Below are 15776 nucleotides of genomic sequence, written 5' to 3' on the forward strand. Positions count from 1 at the left end.
ACAATACATTTAAATGAATTTGTTTTTGATAACATTTAAAAAATATTTGTAATTGATACAAATGATCTCACCAGCCCACCAGCCAAATAGAACCAGCTTACAAATTTGTGGCACATTTTATGGAATTAGGTGCCTAAATTCCTTTAATTGAACAGGGATAGAAAAAACCTTGAGTTATCTCCCAGTCCTGTCTTCTTTATTCGCCCAGGTTTTTCAGCTTTTTTTTTTTTTTTTTTTTTTGAGACAGAGTCTTGCTCTGTCACCCAGGCTGGAGTGCAGTGGTGTGATCTGGGCTCACTATAACCTCCACCTCCTGGGTTCAAGCAGTTCTCCTGTCTCAGTCTCCCAAGTAGCTGGGATTACAGATGGCCACCACCATGCCCTGGCTAATTTTTTGTGTTTTTAGTAGAGACGGAGTTTTGCCATGTTGGCCAGGCTGGTCCTGAACTGACCTCAGGTCATCCACCTGCCTGGTCCTCTCAAAGTGCTGGGATTACAGGCGTGAGCCACCGTTCCCAGCCCAGCTTTCTTTTCTTGATGTAGCACACGCCACCTGTGCCAGAGCAAACTGTACCTTCCAGAGGCAGTCATTGTGCTTTGCATGGGGAGCACTGGAAGGTGTCCATTCCACCACCTGAGTTTAGGCTGCCTTCATCTCTTGCCTGGAATAGTGCAGTCAGCTGACTGGCTTCCACTCTCACCCTCTAATCTTTGTTTCTTCCTGCTGCTGAGTATGCTTTAGATAATGTTTTAAACTCTTTAGCCTACAACTTGTAAAAGTGCAAAAGGACTTGATGTAGATCTGCATGCTCAATGGAACTTAAAGAAAACAAATGTGATGAGGGCTTTGGAGGTGCTTTGAATGCCTTGAATGGACAGTGCTACAAAATACAAGATTGATATATTTATTCAACAAACATTTATTAAATGCCTCCTGTGTCCCAGGCACTGTGCCTAGGAGCCAGAAATAAAAGACATAATTGGTATAATATTGACAGTTACTTTTGAAGATTTACATGAAAAGGAGTCTACCCAAACAGAAGAAATATACAATTGGTTAACTAGGATGTTAATAGACCTTTATAGGTGAATAGTTGTATTTATAGAATGGTAGTTTTCTGAGCAAACAAAAGACATGCTTAGCTGTCCCCCTTCCCACAGTTTAGTTCCATATATTGTTGGATACAAAAAATGCTTTCTTCTGTGTTTCTTTCTCTTTGCTCTTTAGTCATCGGCTGCAGTGGAAGACTAATGCTCAGCCCCTGCATAGAAAATCTTTATACACAGCAAGAGCTGGTGAGAGAAATTGACTAGGATTTTGTAATTCTAGTCCCTTTCAATTAGCAACAGATGCTGCAGGGAAAGATTGTCTGTGTAGGAACACAGTACTAATGTTTCTGTGCCCTAGCTGACATGGAATGCTCATTGCAAAAAGAAAGATGTTCTTTTCCTTGGTCGAAGTTGTCACCAATGACAGATTAGATTTTTTTAACCTTTCTCTACTCCTAAATCCATTAATGAAGTCTGATTCCCTTGGAAGAAAGTTAAATTCTTGACCAATTGTAACAACATTTCTAATTGAACACTTAAAGAATTTATAGAAAGTTTAGACATTCCAGCTGCCTTTCTGATAGTATAAAGGTATACATTGTGCTTAATTTTAAGGTTTGTAAGAATTTGCCTTTGTTCTTATGTTGTCTTATTTACCAGAGATCTTTTTTTGATCCTGAAAGTTAATATATTTTTGTTCCTTATGGTTTTTTTCCCCCAAAGAGAACTTTGGAATCCTTAAGGTCAGATATTTAAAGTGAAAATTTTTTATTATTTTGAGAAAAAATCCTGTGGCATTAGAAAACTATATTTATCTTTCACCTTCTTCCCTAGTGTATTTACTACTGATTATCATTTTAATGTGTTGTATGGATCTTGTGGCCTTAAAATTGGCCTATCATTCTGCTATTTGGATAAAGCATTATGTTACTTATGTGATAAATTCTTCCAGCATCTAACTATTGGTTTATTTTGAGTATTACATAAACACTTTATTTACAATGATGGCTGCTTTTTAATTAAATTTTCTATGACTTCTTAATAACAGTTCCACAGTTGCTATAACTTTGAGAGTAAAAAGAAATGAGTCTTTTCATTTAAAAAAGCCTAGTTAAGAAAAATAGTTTAGGAGTTCTAAATTACAATAGAATTTCTCTATAAGTGAAATTCTCTTCTAAGAAGATTCTGAACATACTGTATTTCCTGCTGTATCTTGGGGAGAGAAGATAGCAACAACAGAATATATTGCCAGAAGGAGGTTATGGACTTGTCTCTGGGAATTTTTGGAATGGGGATGGGTAACTATATTGTTAGTAAAGGTAAAGTGAAGAATGAGATGATCTATGTGGTGCTCCTTTAGTGGAAAAACCAGGGAACTGAGTCAGATGGCCTCACCAGTCTGACGGTGTGTCTTAACACATATCTGTAAATGTGGAATATCAGATTTCCTTATTAAGCATTTTAAAAGTGATGTCTTTTAAAGAAAAGTAAATTCTGAATTTGGGATATTGAAGGCCCCACAATTGCTTAAAATGCAAGATGGTTCATGTTTTTAAAACTTTATGGAAACGTTTTCGATTAAAGCTTGAGTTTAACTTGCAGTTTCTAGTTTTCTCAATTTTCGATTCAATTTCCAGTATAATGTTAGATCTGTCTTTGGTTATTTTTGCGTCATGTCTTTGACAAATCCATGCAGTTTAAATTGTATAATCTTAAAAGGCAAGGCCTGTACCCTTAGATAAACGTATGTCATGAAGCATACATCATGATTTTAGTATGTTGGAATCACATAGTCTCTCCAATGTCTTTCAGACTTCCTCAAGTCTGAGAGTGTGTACTGTTCTTCTTTCCTTTCCTTTCCCATCGCTATATAGACATCTTATGGTTGAGTCCAAGCTTTCTGCTTTTTTGCTCCTTTACTTTTGGGAGCCAAGCTTATTATAGTTGCAGTTCTGGATTTAGGGTAAACATTATTATTTTGGCTGTAAGAGGGAGACTTGGAAGACTCTGAATATCATAAGGACTATAAAACTTTGTTATTCTGTGTTTTAGCAAGCTCTTTGGCAATATGGGCTACCAAGACAGCATTATTTTTCTGAAAAATATCTTGGCTTATTGAAGAGTGTTCTATGAGGTGTTAAACATGAGTAAAGCAAAGGTAGGCAAAGCACATTTTATGTTTTGATATCTTTGTTTTATTTAATCTTATTTATTCACTTGTGAAATATCATAGTTTGAATCATTAGTATTAATCAGTAAGAGTCTATATTGTAGTTAGAATATCAGAATACTGAAGTGAAATTTCTAGAATTTTACTAAACAGTTTGCACATGTTTGATGTCCTTTAAAATTTATGGATGAGTTGAAATTTAATCAGGAGCTGATTCTGTGTCTCCATTACATTAAAAGATGATAATGGTTAGATTTAGTGACCCTGATTCATTTCACTTACCACCAGGTAATTAATCTTTTAGGGAAAGAGAGGAGTGGCTATGTATAGAAAGGAGAAAAGGAAGAAGATTGAGGAATGCTTGCTCATCTTAGCATAATCCACTTTTTGGGCATCTTAGGTTAATGGAGGGAGAAGAAGTTATGAGAAAGGCTCATGAGTGCTTTTGAAAACACTTTCAGGATCATAAAATTACAGATTATAAGAGGCTGAAAGAATGTTAGAGGTCTGGCTGTTCTCATTTTCAGAGAAGCATAGTGATATACTCAGCCAAGCTCAAGCAGCAGCATAACCAGAGCCCTGGCAATACATCTGTTTGACTTAAGGACAAAAATCCAGGATTCTTTGATATCACCATCTCTTTTTGAGTTTTTGTGGGAATAAACTGAGAAATTGTTTTCTGAGGTAATAGTTTGTTTTTCTCTGATCATGTTTCTTAATGCCTGTAGTGTGCCACTACACTTGTGGAGAATAAGGATACTGTTTTACCAAGCCTAGAAATTGCAATTATAGAATGTAGCGGTAGGGAATGGGGCATGCCCAGAAACTTAACACCTTGTGTTTTATAGGAAAAATGTTTTGAAAATTGGCAAAAAAAAAAAGTGGTAGAATTTATCCTTTAAAATATTTTTCTAGGCCAGGCGTGGTGGCTCGTGCCTGTAATTCCAGCATTTTGTGAGACCAAGGCAGGAGAATTACTTGAGCCTAGGAGTTTGAGACCAGCCTGAACAACATGGTGAAATCCTCTGTCTACAAAAAATAGAAATAAAAAAATTAGCCAAGTGTGGTCCCATGCCTGTGGTCCTGGGACCCATGCCTGTGGTCCCAGCTACTTAGGAGGCTGAGATGGGAGGATTGCTTGAGCCCAGGAGGTCGAGGCTGCAGTGAGTCATCATCCTGCCACTGCACTCCAGCCTAGGTGACAGGATGAGAACCTTAAAAAAAAAAAAAAGGAAAAGAAAACAAAATGTTTTTCTACTTGTTTCTAGAGATTTTTCAAATTTGAGGTAGGAGTTAAAGGGGATTTCTCAAATTCACTGTGTTAGTCTTTTAAAATAGCCTCAGAGACTTACATGGTATTTCTTTTCATTCTCTACTTTTGATTTTAGGTACATATACCTGATGTTTATAGTAACTATCGTGTTGCTTTATATATAAATCAGTGTTGTTGGTTTATGCTTAGATTTTTTATATAGAGTTTGCAAGTAAAGTAGTTTTGATAGCCACACAACCTCAGGCTTCTTTTTGGCAATACAGTTTCAGTGTGTATCTTAAAATTTTTAATCTAAGAATTACTGATATTTAAGGATGTTAAAAGGGCAACCAAATAAAGTCCTTTGTTCTGATAATTGAAAGAATTTTTTTTCTGTTTTAACACCTATAAAGAAATTCTACAACTGCTTACCTTCACCTGTTCTAATATTTAAGCTTCCTAGCTGTTAGGAAGTTCTTCTTTATATCTTACCTAAATACAGCCTAAATGCAGAACTCTTTGTCGTAGCTTAGAGTCATGTATGAAAATCAAGGACAGTTGGTCATGTTACCAATTTCACATTAATTAATGAATCACTGCTTGATATAAAGTCATTTTGAACAGTTTCAAGCTGCATTGTTAAGGGGATGGATTTAAAAATTATTCAATGTCTTCTTTTCTGGTTTCCATGAAAAACCAATTTACCTTTTTACAGTTCTTATCCTTCTCTACTACTCCAGTCAGATTAAAGATGACATTCAGCCTAGCTGCCTTCATAGTTTCAAAAGCAGTTTTCCTTAGATGGGACCAGCAGTGTCTTTAGGCCTAAGTGTGTTAGAAAGCTGAACTAATCATATCTGAGAGGAGGCAAGAAAGAAAGTCAATGGGGAAGAAATGAAGCAGGCTGTCCGTGGAAGAGAGGAGATGAAGATCCAGGAAAGATGGAAAATGGGGAGTGAAAGAGGTAGACTGTGGTTGACAGCTTAGCTAAAGTGTCTCCAGCAGTTATCTCAGGTGCCACTTCGTGTCTTGGACTAGCTAGCAAGCCCACTGAGGAGTGGGAATGTAAGTAAGCTTTGCAGGGGTGTCCAATCTTGTGGCTTCCCTGGGCCACATTGAAAGAAGAATTGTCTTGGGCCACATAAAATACACTAACACTAACGATAGCTGATGAGCTAAAAAAAAAAAAAAGTCGCAAAAAAAATCTCATGATGTTTTAAGAAAGTTTACAAATTTGCATTGGGCTGCATTCAGCCCACAGGTTGTGGGTTGCACAGGCTTCCTCTAGGGGATTCTTAGGTCTCTTGCTGCTGTCTGTGTTGCCTCCCATTCAGATTGGGGCTCATCAGACACTGTGGCAATCCACATTTGGAGCAGTACATTGGTCATTATTTACCTGTTATGGACCCTGGCAGAAGATTACTTAGGGATTTCAAAGCAGCATAAAGCCTACTTCTTAGACTCTGCAGTTGAGCAAGTTCACAGAAACCAATACAGGAATCCACCTTGTCTGTCTTATGAAGTGCCTCTCAAATTTTTCTGCTTATGTACTTGACTGTAGAGGTGATACGAAATGAGTATCCCAGGGGACCAGTGAAATAAGATTCTGAGGTTTCTTTGAAGTCTTTTTATCTTGCAAATCCATGCAAATTTTACATTGTGTTCCATAATAGGTCTATTTATTTTAAAAAATAGTAATAGTAAAACAATACTCCATCCCCTCCCCACATACAAAAGTCTCTGAGGCTCAGGAATATGGACTGTGCTTATCTTGTGGCTTCAAGAACACACTCTCCCTCGGCCTCCCCACTAACACATTTCATCTGGGGTGCGTGTTCCCTGCAGTGCTGTGGAAAACAAACATAACATGTAGCTTTTGAGGATCTAGGCTACGTTGTTGGTGGCACTTTGGACCTTTTGCTGAATTTAAAAGGTACCTTTATAAGTATGTTAGCCATCGATTAGACAGACCCATCTGGGCAATCCTCTGCTCAGTTTTAACGAGGAACCTCATGAGCAGAGACTTAGAATGGGGCTTTAGTCTAGAGCTCCTTAGCACATGTTATTAGACCCTATAAACCATCTCATTAATTTTTACATCTCTAAGCTAACTGGATCAGATGTCCTGCTTCTTCCTGGGCACATAAATACAATATTCTCTCCCAAAGTCACCATACCCAAATAAGTTCTTCCATAAGGTTGCTTAGAGATTGTAAATAATTCATGTAAAGTATTAAACATGGTTTCTTACATGTAGTGAGCAGCCAGGAAATGGTAGCTGCTATTTTATTATTGCTGCTATCATTATTGCAATGTGTACCTACTGTGAACAAAGCAGCATTATAAATGGAAAGTAAAGCTGGTTGGTGGCACATTCAAAACTGATGGCTGACAGATAACTTTGGATCTTGAATTGTAAACAGGTAAAACTTTTTTTTTTTTTTTTTTTTTTTTTTTTTTTTTTTGAGATGGAGTCTTACTCTGTCGCCCAGGCTGGAGTCCAGTGGTGTGATCTTGGCTCACTGCAACCCTTGCTTCCTAAGTTCAAGTGATCCTCCTATCTCAGCCTCCCAAGTAGTTAGGACTACAGGTGCACACCACCACACCTGGCTAATTTTTGTATTTTTATTTTTTATTTTTTTTGAGATGGAGTCTCGCTCTGTTGCCCAGGCTGGAATGCCGTGGCATGATCTCAGCTCACTGCAACCTCTGCCTCCTGGGTTCAAGCAATTCCTCTGCCTCGGCCTCCCGAGTAGCTGGGACTACAGATGCGCGCCACTACGCTTGGCTAATTTTTTGTATTTTTAGTAGAGACGGGGTTTTACCGTGTTAGCCAGGATGGTCTCGATCTCCTGACCTCATGATCTGGCCTCCCAAGTGCTGGGATTACAGGCATGAGCCACCGCACTGGCCCATTTTTGTATTTTAGTAGAGATGCGGTTTCGCCATGTTGGCCAGGCTGGTCTCAAACTCCTGACTTCAGGTGATCCTTATAATACTAAGAAGTATACACTGCTTGTGATATGATTAAAGAAAATGGAGCAAATGAAATTCTTGAACAAAAAGATATTTAAGAAATAAAACCACTAACTATACTAGGGGAAAAACTGATTTTAGCTTCACATAATTTAACAGTGTGGCCAAAGCATAGAATTCTATGGAGGAATAGTGCCTAGTACAGTGCCTAATTTGTGCTGCTTCATGTGTGTTGGTTGAATGAATATGATGGGTTGATACCTTATTATGGAAGCCGAATTGTATATATATACCTGATTAAGCAAGGAATTTGAATGTTATCTAATGGTCAGTGAGAATTTTGAGCAGGGAAATGATGTCATTCATCGCTTGTTTTAGACTGGAAGGAAATGTACAAAAGGTTATATTTTATGATAGAACTATGATAAATTTCCCTTTTACTTTGCTAACATTTCTAATAACACACACCCTTTATAAAGTCTAAGAGTACACTTCCAAAGGTGATAGTGGCTCCCTGTGAAATGGGAATGGGGGTGAGGGTTATGTATTTGAATCTGGGAGGGGTAGCATATGTACTTTGAAAGAGAGCACCCAGGGATATGTCCTTCATGAGTATCATTATTTTAGAGAATCCTTGAGTATCAAATCATAGAGTTCCTAGAGCCCCTCAGCTCTAACCCTCATGTTATAGATGACATCAAGTGAATTCCTTGACTCAACCCAGGACTCCTGATTCCTAGTTCATTGTTCTTTCTCATGCATTAAAGTTGTGGAAAAAACTATGCAGATGAACAGAAGGGAGGATTGGTTTACGTAGTTTTTCTTCCCTGCTCCAGAGTAACTTTTCCAACAAGCCTGAATGTTTTCATATCATCTTGCTGTACTTTAAAAATTTAAACATTTGTGTCAATTACATATTCATGTAGGTAATAAAAAAATCTCACTGGCCGGGTGCGGTGGCTCATGCCTGTAATCCCAGCACCTTGGGAGGCCAAGGCGGGTGGATCGCCTGAGCTCAGGAGTTCGAGAACATACAGGGCAACATGGTAAAACCCCGTGTCTACTAAAAATACAAAAAAAATTAACTGGGTGTGGTGGCACGCACCTGTAGTCCCAGCTACTTGGGAGGCTGAGGCAGGATAATTGCTTCAGCCCCAGAGGTGAAAGTTGCAGTGAGCCAAGATTGTGCCACTGCACTCCAGCTTGGGCTACAGAGTGAGACTCCGTCTCAAAAAATACTCACCACCCCAGAGGCAAATCAGTAAAACATCTTGTCATGTTTTCTTACCAGTCTTTTTTCTAAATGTGTACTTTTAAAATTAGAATTGTATTGTTTTATAGCTTTTTATATGTTTATATATACAAACATTCACTTAAGTATATGTAGGTGTTGTTTTTTTAATTTTTTTTTTTTTTTTTTTTTGAGTTGGAGTTTTGCTCTTGTTGCCCAGGCTGGAGTGCAGTGGCCTGCTCTCAGCTCACCGCAACCTCCACCTCCTGGGTTCAAGCGATTCTCCTGCCTCAGCCTCCTGAGTAGCTGGGATTACAGGCGCTTGCCACCATGCATGGCTAATTTTTGTATTTTTAATAGAGATGGGGTTTCGCCATGTTGGCCAGGCTGGTCCTGAACCTCTGACCTCAGGTGATCCGCCTGCCTCAGCCTCCCAAAGTGCTGGGATTATAGGCGTGAGCCACCTCGCCTGGCCCTATTTAAAATGGTTATGTAGTAGTAATCCATCATACAGATGTGCCACAACATATATGATTAAATCTCTATTGTTAGGTAGTTCTCAATTTTTCAAACAAGCAACTATTTTATAAATGCAAATAGTTCTAAGAACGTTAGGAGACTTCGAGTCATTCACATACTAGTTCGAATTAGTTAATATCTGGTTTCTTTTTACTACCTAGTTGAGAGCAGCTAGTTGGAGAATGGAAATTGTGATTTGGCATGAAGCACTTCAGGAAGAGGGTGGGCTTGGGAAGGGCTGTGAAGGGGTAGAGTTCCATATAGGCTGTTTGAACCTCAGAAAAAGGGATGTAGAAAAAGGTTGCTGAATGGAGTAATTTCAGTGTTTTGCACAGGAATGGCTCTTTTTCTTTTTCTGGTCCGTATGACTTTTGCTTTAAGACTATTGCTCAAGCTATTTTGTAAGTTTGGGGTTCTCCCACACAAGTACATTGACTAAGCATTGGTTAAAAGGCTAGGCACCTGAGTACCACTTACATGTTTTACTTTCCAAGTTCCAACCTAACTACTTATAAACTTGAAAGTAGTTATGAATTGTGGGTTACCTATAGTCAAATAGTAGGGTTTTTTTTTTTTTCAGTCAATTGGAAATGAAAGGGCAGGTATTGGCAAGGCTTCGGGACTAATTTAATGCCATTAGGAAAGCACAAGATAATGTAAGGGCTAAAAGCCTCAAAAAAAAAAAAAAAAAAGGTGAAATGAGGAGTTGTTGCTGATTGGTGCAGGAACCTGAAAGATGACACCTGAAAACTCAAATTACATTTCAGGAACTTGTGCTGGCGAGAGATAGGGATAACACAGATAAAAGTGTAATTTGTAGATATTCTAAAATCCCTTATCTTAGCCAATAGTTTCAGCCGTGGCTTAAAACAATATATCTATCTGTACTTTAGCAAAATGGGTGGATTTGCATTTCACATGCTCCTCCTTTGGTTGAAAACAACTGATTACATAGGAAAGGGAAGATGATACTATAAACTAGGTCTTCGTTCTCCTACAATGTGACATTGGACAAGGCATTTCGTCTCTCTGGTTTCTAACCTGCAAGTAAAAGGATGATTAATATTGGTTTAGATAATTTTTAAAGTTCCTTTAGAACCTGAAGGGTCTTTATTTCTACAACAAAAAAATCACCCATGAGGTAGAATTGGCTATACATTCTCAAATGTAAAAAATTAAGCAAAATGCTGATCTAGTAGGTTCACATAACTTTTAAGTAAAGCATCTTGAAGGTGTCCCTCTATCAACTGAAGAACAAATGTCTGAGTTTAATATATGACTGCATCAAAAAAAAAAATATATGCAACCGCAGTAGGTGACCAAAGGGATAAGTAACTTTCAGGAATTTTGAAAGCCCAGTAGTATTTAGTATATGCTCTCTCAGCATTAAAAAGGTCACCTTGCTAATACATGTTAATTTTGAAAGTTTAATTGACCTTTGGAATTTTAATATCAACCTTTTTTGGTGTGGTTAGAGGTTGGAGCAATCACTGAAGAAACTGAAGCCTGTGATTGGTGGAGTTTGGGTGCTGTCCTCTTTGAACTTCTCACTGGCAAGGTAAGCAGTGGCCTGGACGTTTAATAAATTTACTCAGATGCTACCTTGATTTCAAATTAAGAACATTAGCCTTCACCCTTAGTTTTTAAATCAGGGACTAAGCAAGAAAAACTTTGATATCGAAAGCAAGTAGAGAAATGCAAGTTTATCAAGAGTCCAGATTTTTTTTAAAAGTTGGATTGCATTACATTGAATAAATTGATGGTAAAGTTATTTTATGTCACAATATTTCATAGTGAAATATGACTAAAACTTTTTTCTTTTAATTTTCCATGATTCAGCTTTAACAGGGTCAAATCTGTAAGGTTTATGTAAGGATGTATTAAAATTCTCTGGATGTTTTAAACATATTGTCTGAAACCAGGAGAGAATTCTTATTTAAGAAAATTAACGTAGATATTAAAGTTAACATTATCTTTTTCTCAGTACCATAAATTTTTCCTATCTGTTCTAGCTTAAGGACAGAAATTATACTCTCAGATGAATGACTTTTGAATATGATGTTTGAGTTAGTAGACTTTAATAAAGTATTGTGCAGATTGCCTCCTGGGAAGAAAATGAAGGAAATGAAGGAAATGAACAGTTACACTTTTGTAAATAGTCATCTACCTACGTGTGTAGATAATACTGACCTAAGATTGCTGGGGAGTTTACAAATCACCTTTACATACATTTAAACTGTAAAGTGCTATATATGTATGTAAAGTATTATGACTAACAAATTCTAAACTCTGTAGGGTTTTTAAAACATTAAAACATTTTAAAGGTATCAAATCTCTTTTTAGTTTTGCGTATAATTTAAGCTTTTCTATAATATTCTGAGCCATTAATTTTATAACTAAGGACGACGGGACAGTAGCATAAGCTTATGATGTGATCATGGTGATTGTCTTCATTTCAGTTAAAAGTTCTATAGGCTCACAGCCCTCATCCTAAACTGCTTAGGCGGCACTGTGTTGATTACTACACTTCCAGTTAAAATGGTTGTTGAGCTCTCTGTACTTGCTGTCCATAAATCCTATGATAGAACAAAATATGATGTTATTTGGGATAAGAAGTGTACCTGATTGATTGTTTCAGACTCTGGTTGAATGCCATCCAGCAGGAATAAATACTCACACTACTTTGAACATGCCAGAATGTGTCTCTGAAGAGGCTCGCTCACTCATTCAACAGGTAATTTAACTGACCTATTGGCCAGGTTTATCAACCATGCAGATTAGCAGAGCCCACAACTCCAAAACCTTAAAAAGAGATTAGTTTGGAGCAAGAAAAACCCATTTAACGTAAAACAAAGACACGTTCAGAATTAATACTGTATATTTTCAGGCTTTGCTATCATCAAAGTATTGATGGGGTCAGAGAGTATAGTTAAAACTTCTTGGTATTAATTTTTTTCCCAAAAATTTAGGGCTCACAGTCATTTCTGTATATTTGTGTAACTCTGTGATTTGAGTATTGCTTTTAGCTTGTCTGAGGCTGCTCTAATTTTGCAGTTACATTTTGTAACCGTATATGAATGGCTATTTTCAATTTTTAATTCTTACTTATAAGTTTACTCAGGTATTTATAAAGCTACTCAGGTTGCTTAGGAGAGACATATTAGAAAATCTTGTCAAGTTAGATACTTCATCATTGGTGGAACTTGGGCATTGGTGTCAGTGATTATATTTCTGGTGGCTTTGAAGAAAGAGACCATTGATAATTAAAGTTCAGTATCCCAGAGACAGGCTTGGAACTCCAGTGAACTTCTTAGATTGATTCCTCATACTTAAATTACTCTTCTAGTTTCGTGTAGTGAATTTTGCTGATATTGAGGGTTGTTAGTACTCTGGTGTGACAGGCCCATTGCTGGGCTATCAGCAGGAACAAGAAGGCCTGGGATCCTTATGCTTTTATGAAAAATATAATGGAAAAAGTTCCTTGAAAAATATCAAGAACTAAAATTATGTAATGAAACATGGATTTAAAAAAAAAAGTCAGGGAAAACAAAAATTAAAAGAGGGCAGGGGAGCATATATTAGGAAGATAATTGACTAGTATTCTCTTGAAGAGTGATTTTGCTTTCATTCAACAAATATTATATACAAGGCACAGTGCTATAAGCTACAAAGGTAAGACAGGTAAATAACCATACCACATGGAAATTGATAAAGGCTGTCAAAGAGTTTTAAAAAATACTGTGGCAAGTCAAAAGAAGGGGGCGGATATAATCCGTGGAGTGGTAGTATTAGGGGAAGTTTTTGTGGAATGGATGCTACTTTTGCTGGGCCTTAGGATTTCAGCATGGCAAGGATGTGGGGAGAATAGTCTTGGTGGAATGAATGGTTTGAACAAAGGCAAGGAAGGAGTCTGAAAGACCCAAGTTTAGGAAACAAAGTTTGATTTATCTGGAATAGAGAGATAAATAAAGGTATGGGTGATAGGTGAGCATAAAAAAATAAGTTGGGGTTTTCTTATGGGGTTCTATCATCACAAACACAAGAGTAATGTGATAATATTTAATTCATTAAAATTTGAGATTTGGAGTTTGTGGAGAAGAGTAAACAGTTTAGAGTTGTACTTCAGGAAGATTAATTTGCCCAGAGTATGCAAACTATAAAGAAACAATCAGGTTGGAAATGTTGAGATGAGAATACCTAGAGCACTTTAGATTAAGAGGTAATGAAGAGATACATAAAACATTTCATTCTAATGGAGAAAAAAAGAACAGCTATTCATTTGATTTCATCTTATTCGTTGTGGCACGAGATAAATTCCAAGTATTTTTTAGTAAGTAGTTTAGGAAAGACTGGCAACTGCTATTTTTTGTTTCTCTTCCTTAAAGAAGTAGTCATTATTATATAATATTAAAAATGGAATTCCTCATAATAAGTTACCAAGTTCTGCTTTTGTCTTTATTAGAAGTTAGGTTGTAAAGGAATCTAGGCTTAAGATATGGTAAGTCCCCAAACTCAGATATGTATAGCTTATATAGTAAATCAGCATTGTGTCATTGGCCTGCCTAAGGAAACTACCACTCATGTTGAGGAAACATCATCAGGAAAGGGAAAAGGGGTCTCTTGGCATGATTAGCAATTTGTCATTTTGACTTTCCTTTTCCACTACCTCACAGGTCATAGAGGTCACTTTAAAAAAAAATCACAAAATGATTTATATGGAAATAATTCTACGTGGGGGAAATTTTCTCCTCTTTGGTCTTTTAGCTCCTTGCTTTGTTCTTAGATCTCATAATCCCCTGTACCCCTGGTTCAGTTATCTGTCCAAGTCAAGCAAATGGTGCCAAAGTAAACATAATTACATTTTAAATGCAATCTTAAAAAAGTCCCTCAGAGCATGTATGTTTGTGCTTTAGCATGTACATTAGTTAATTATGACACAGTTGCTTGGTCAGTTTTAAGAAATTATGTGAGGAAAAGACCAAAACAAATTTTCATGCCCTCATTGCTCAGCTCTGTTGCCTATTCTTCAGGAGAAAGGAGGTTGGCAGCTGCTGTCTTGGATTCATTAACTTGAATGTGCCACTGGCTGACATTTTCTTAAGCAGTAGAATCTTTGTGTGACCTCTCTTGAGGTGTGCTATAGCCTTTAAAATGGCAGAATAAGCAAGATAGTCATAGTTAAAACAATTATACTTTTGCCTATAGATTTATACTTGCAGATATATAGAGGAGTTCATGAACTAATTAAATTGACTTTAGTAAAAGTCAAAATATGAACCTTTAGAATTTCACATTTAAAGTATATTTTAGAAAGAAGCCAGTTATTTATAATGAAGAAGAAAGAACTTACATGTTTATGTGTTTCCTGAAATACTAAATATAATTGTCATTGCAGTTAATTCTTAAAAATATTTGAAATGTTAGATTTATATTAAAATGTTTGGTGCCTTCCACATTTTAGTCAGTAGACATAAATTGTCTGATTGTGAAAGTGGATTTGATATATGTGGGATATTCCTGTGATGTTTGTTTTATAACAATAGCTTTTCTCTTAACAAATCGTAGCAACTACTAATATAAAAATTCTTTGAGCAATTAGGTTTAATCAACAGTGTAGTATGGTTCAATTTGAGTGCTAGAAATAATTTCAGGTAAAAGACTGTTAGTATAGTCTTTTGAAGTGTATGTTTCACTCCCCTTATGGATTTGGTAATACCCAAGTGAAGTAATAGATTCTTAGCATTTGCAGATCTCACTTTTGTGAGGCAGTGTAATGTTGTTGTTAAGACATGGATTCTGGAATCAGAATGCTTGAATTCAAATCTTTGCCACTTACTACCTGTGTTATCTTAAACAAGTTACTTAATTTCCCTGAGCTTCTGTTTTCTCAACTATAAAATGGAGATAATAGTAGCTATTCATAGAGTTGTGAGTTAAATGAGTTAACCTATCATAAGCACTTAGAATAAGTACCTGGCATGTGATAAGTGTCGTGTATATCTTTGTTATTATTATTGATAGGACAGTGACGAACATTCATGACACAGTAATTTGCAATTTGATGAAGCATATATTGGAATTATAGGGCTACTAATGAAGAATGAGGCTATTGCTATTGACACAGGTCAACAAAATTCCAAAAAAGTAGTGGACTGGCATATAATAGGCAAACAATTGATACTTATACAAATAATTGAATTATGAATGAAAGAAAAATTAGAAATAATGAAAAAGAGAAGAAATAGAAGTTTTGGTTAACATCCAAGAGTGGAATTTCCTATATATTGGACTACAAATGTTGTAAATAAATAATTTAATATTTCAGTTGCACTTGACTACTTTCTGTGGAAAAAAAATATGTACTGTGAGTATTCTTAAATTTGAGTGGCTGTGGCTTCATGAGTTAGTTGGCAGAGTTTCTTTCCCCCAAAAAGTATGAAGTTAGACAGATTTGGTAAAAAACCAGTCATTTCAGTGCTCTGGAAATGGATCAAAGGATACAACAATCTGAAAGGTGTTTATGCTTAAAAAACAGCTGAACTGGCCAGGCATGGTGGCTCATGCCTGTAATTCCAGCA

The 15776-nt window shown here is 36.6% G+C and overlaps 1 protein-coding gene across 46 annotated transcripts in view; it reads left to right on the forward strand.

Moving 5' to 3' along the window:
* The window catches only part of RPS6KC1 (ribosomal protein S6 kinase C1), an 811495-nt gene that overhangs the window by 199644 nt on the left and 596075 nt on the right, over positions 1-15776 (forward strand). For all 46 annotated transcript variants that reach the window (XR_007058661.1, XR_007058662.1, NR_146210.2 and 43 more), the window contains 2 exons: positions 10674-10756; positions 11837-11932. Coding sequence is in view for 40 of the 46 variants with exons in the window: in XM_047417936.1 (XP_047273892.1) it covers positions 10674-10756; positions 11837-11932 (179 nt within the window). In the remaining 6 variants the exon portion in view is untranslated. The remainder of the gene's footprint in view (positions 1-10673; positions 10757-11836; positions 11933-15776) is intronic.

Source organism: Homo sapiens, chromosome 1 (genome assembly GCF_000001405.40).
Source record: "Homo sapiens chromosome 1, GRCh38.p14 Primary Assembly".
Classification (NCBI taxonomy): domain Eukaryota; kingdom Metazoa; phylum Chordata; class Mammalia; order Primates; family Hominidae; genus Homo; species Homo sapiens.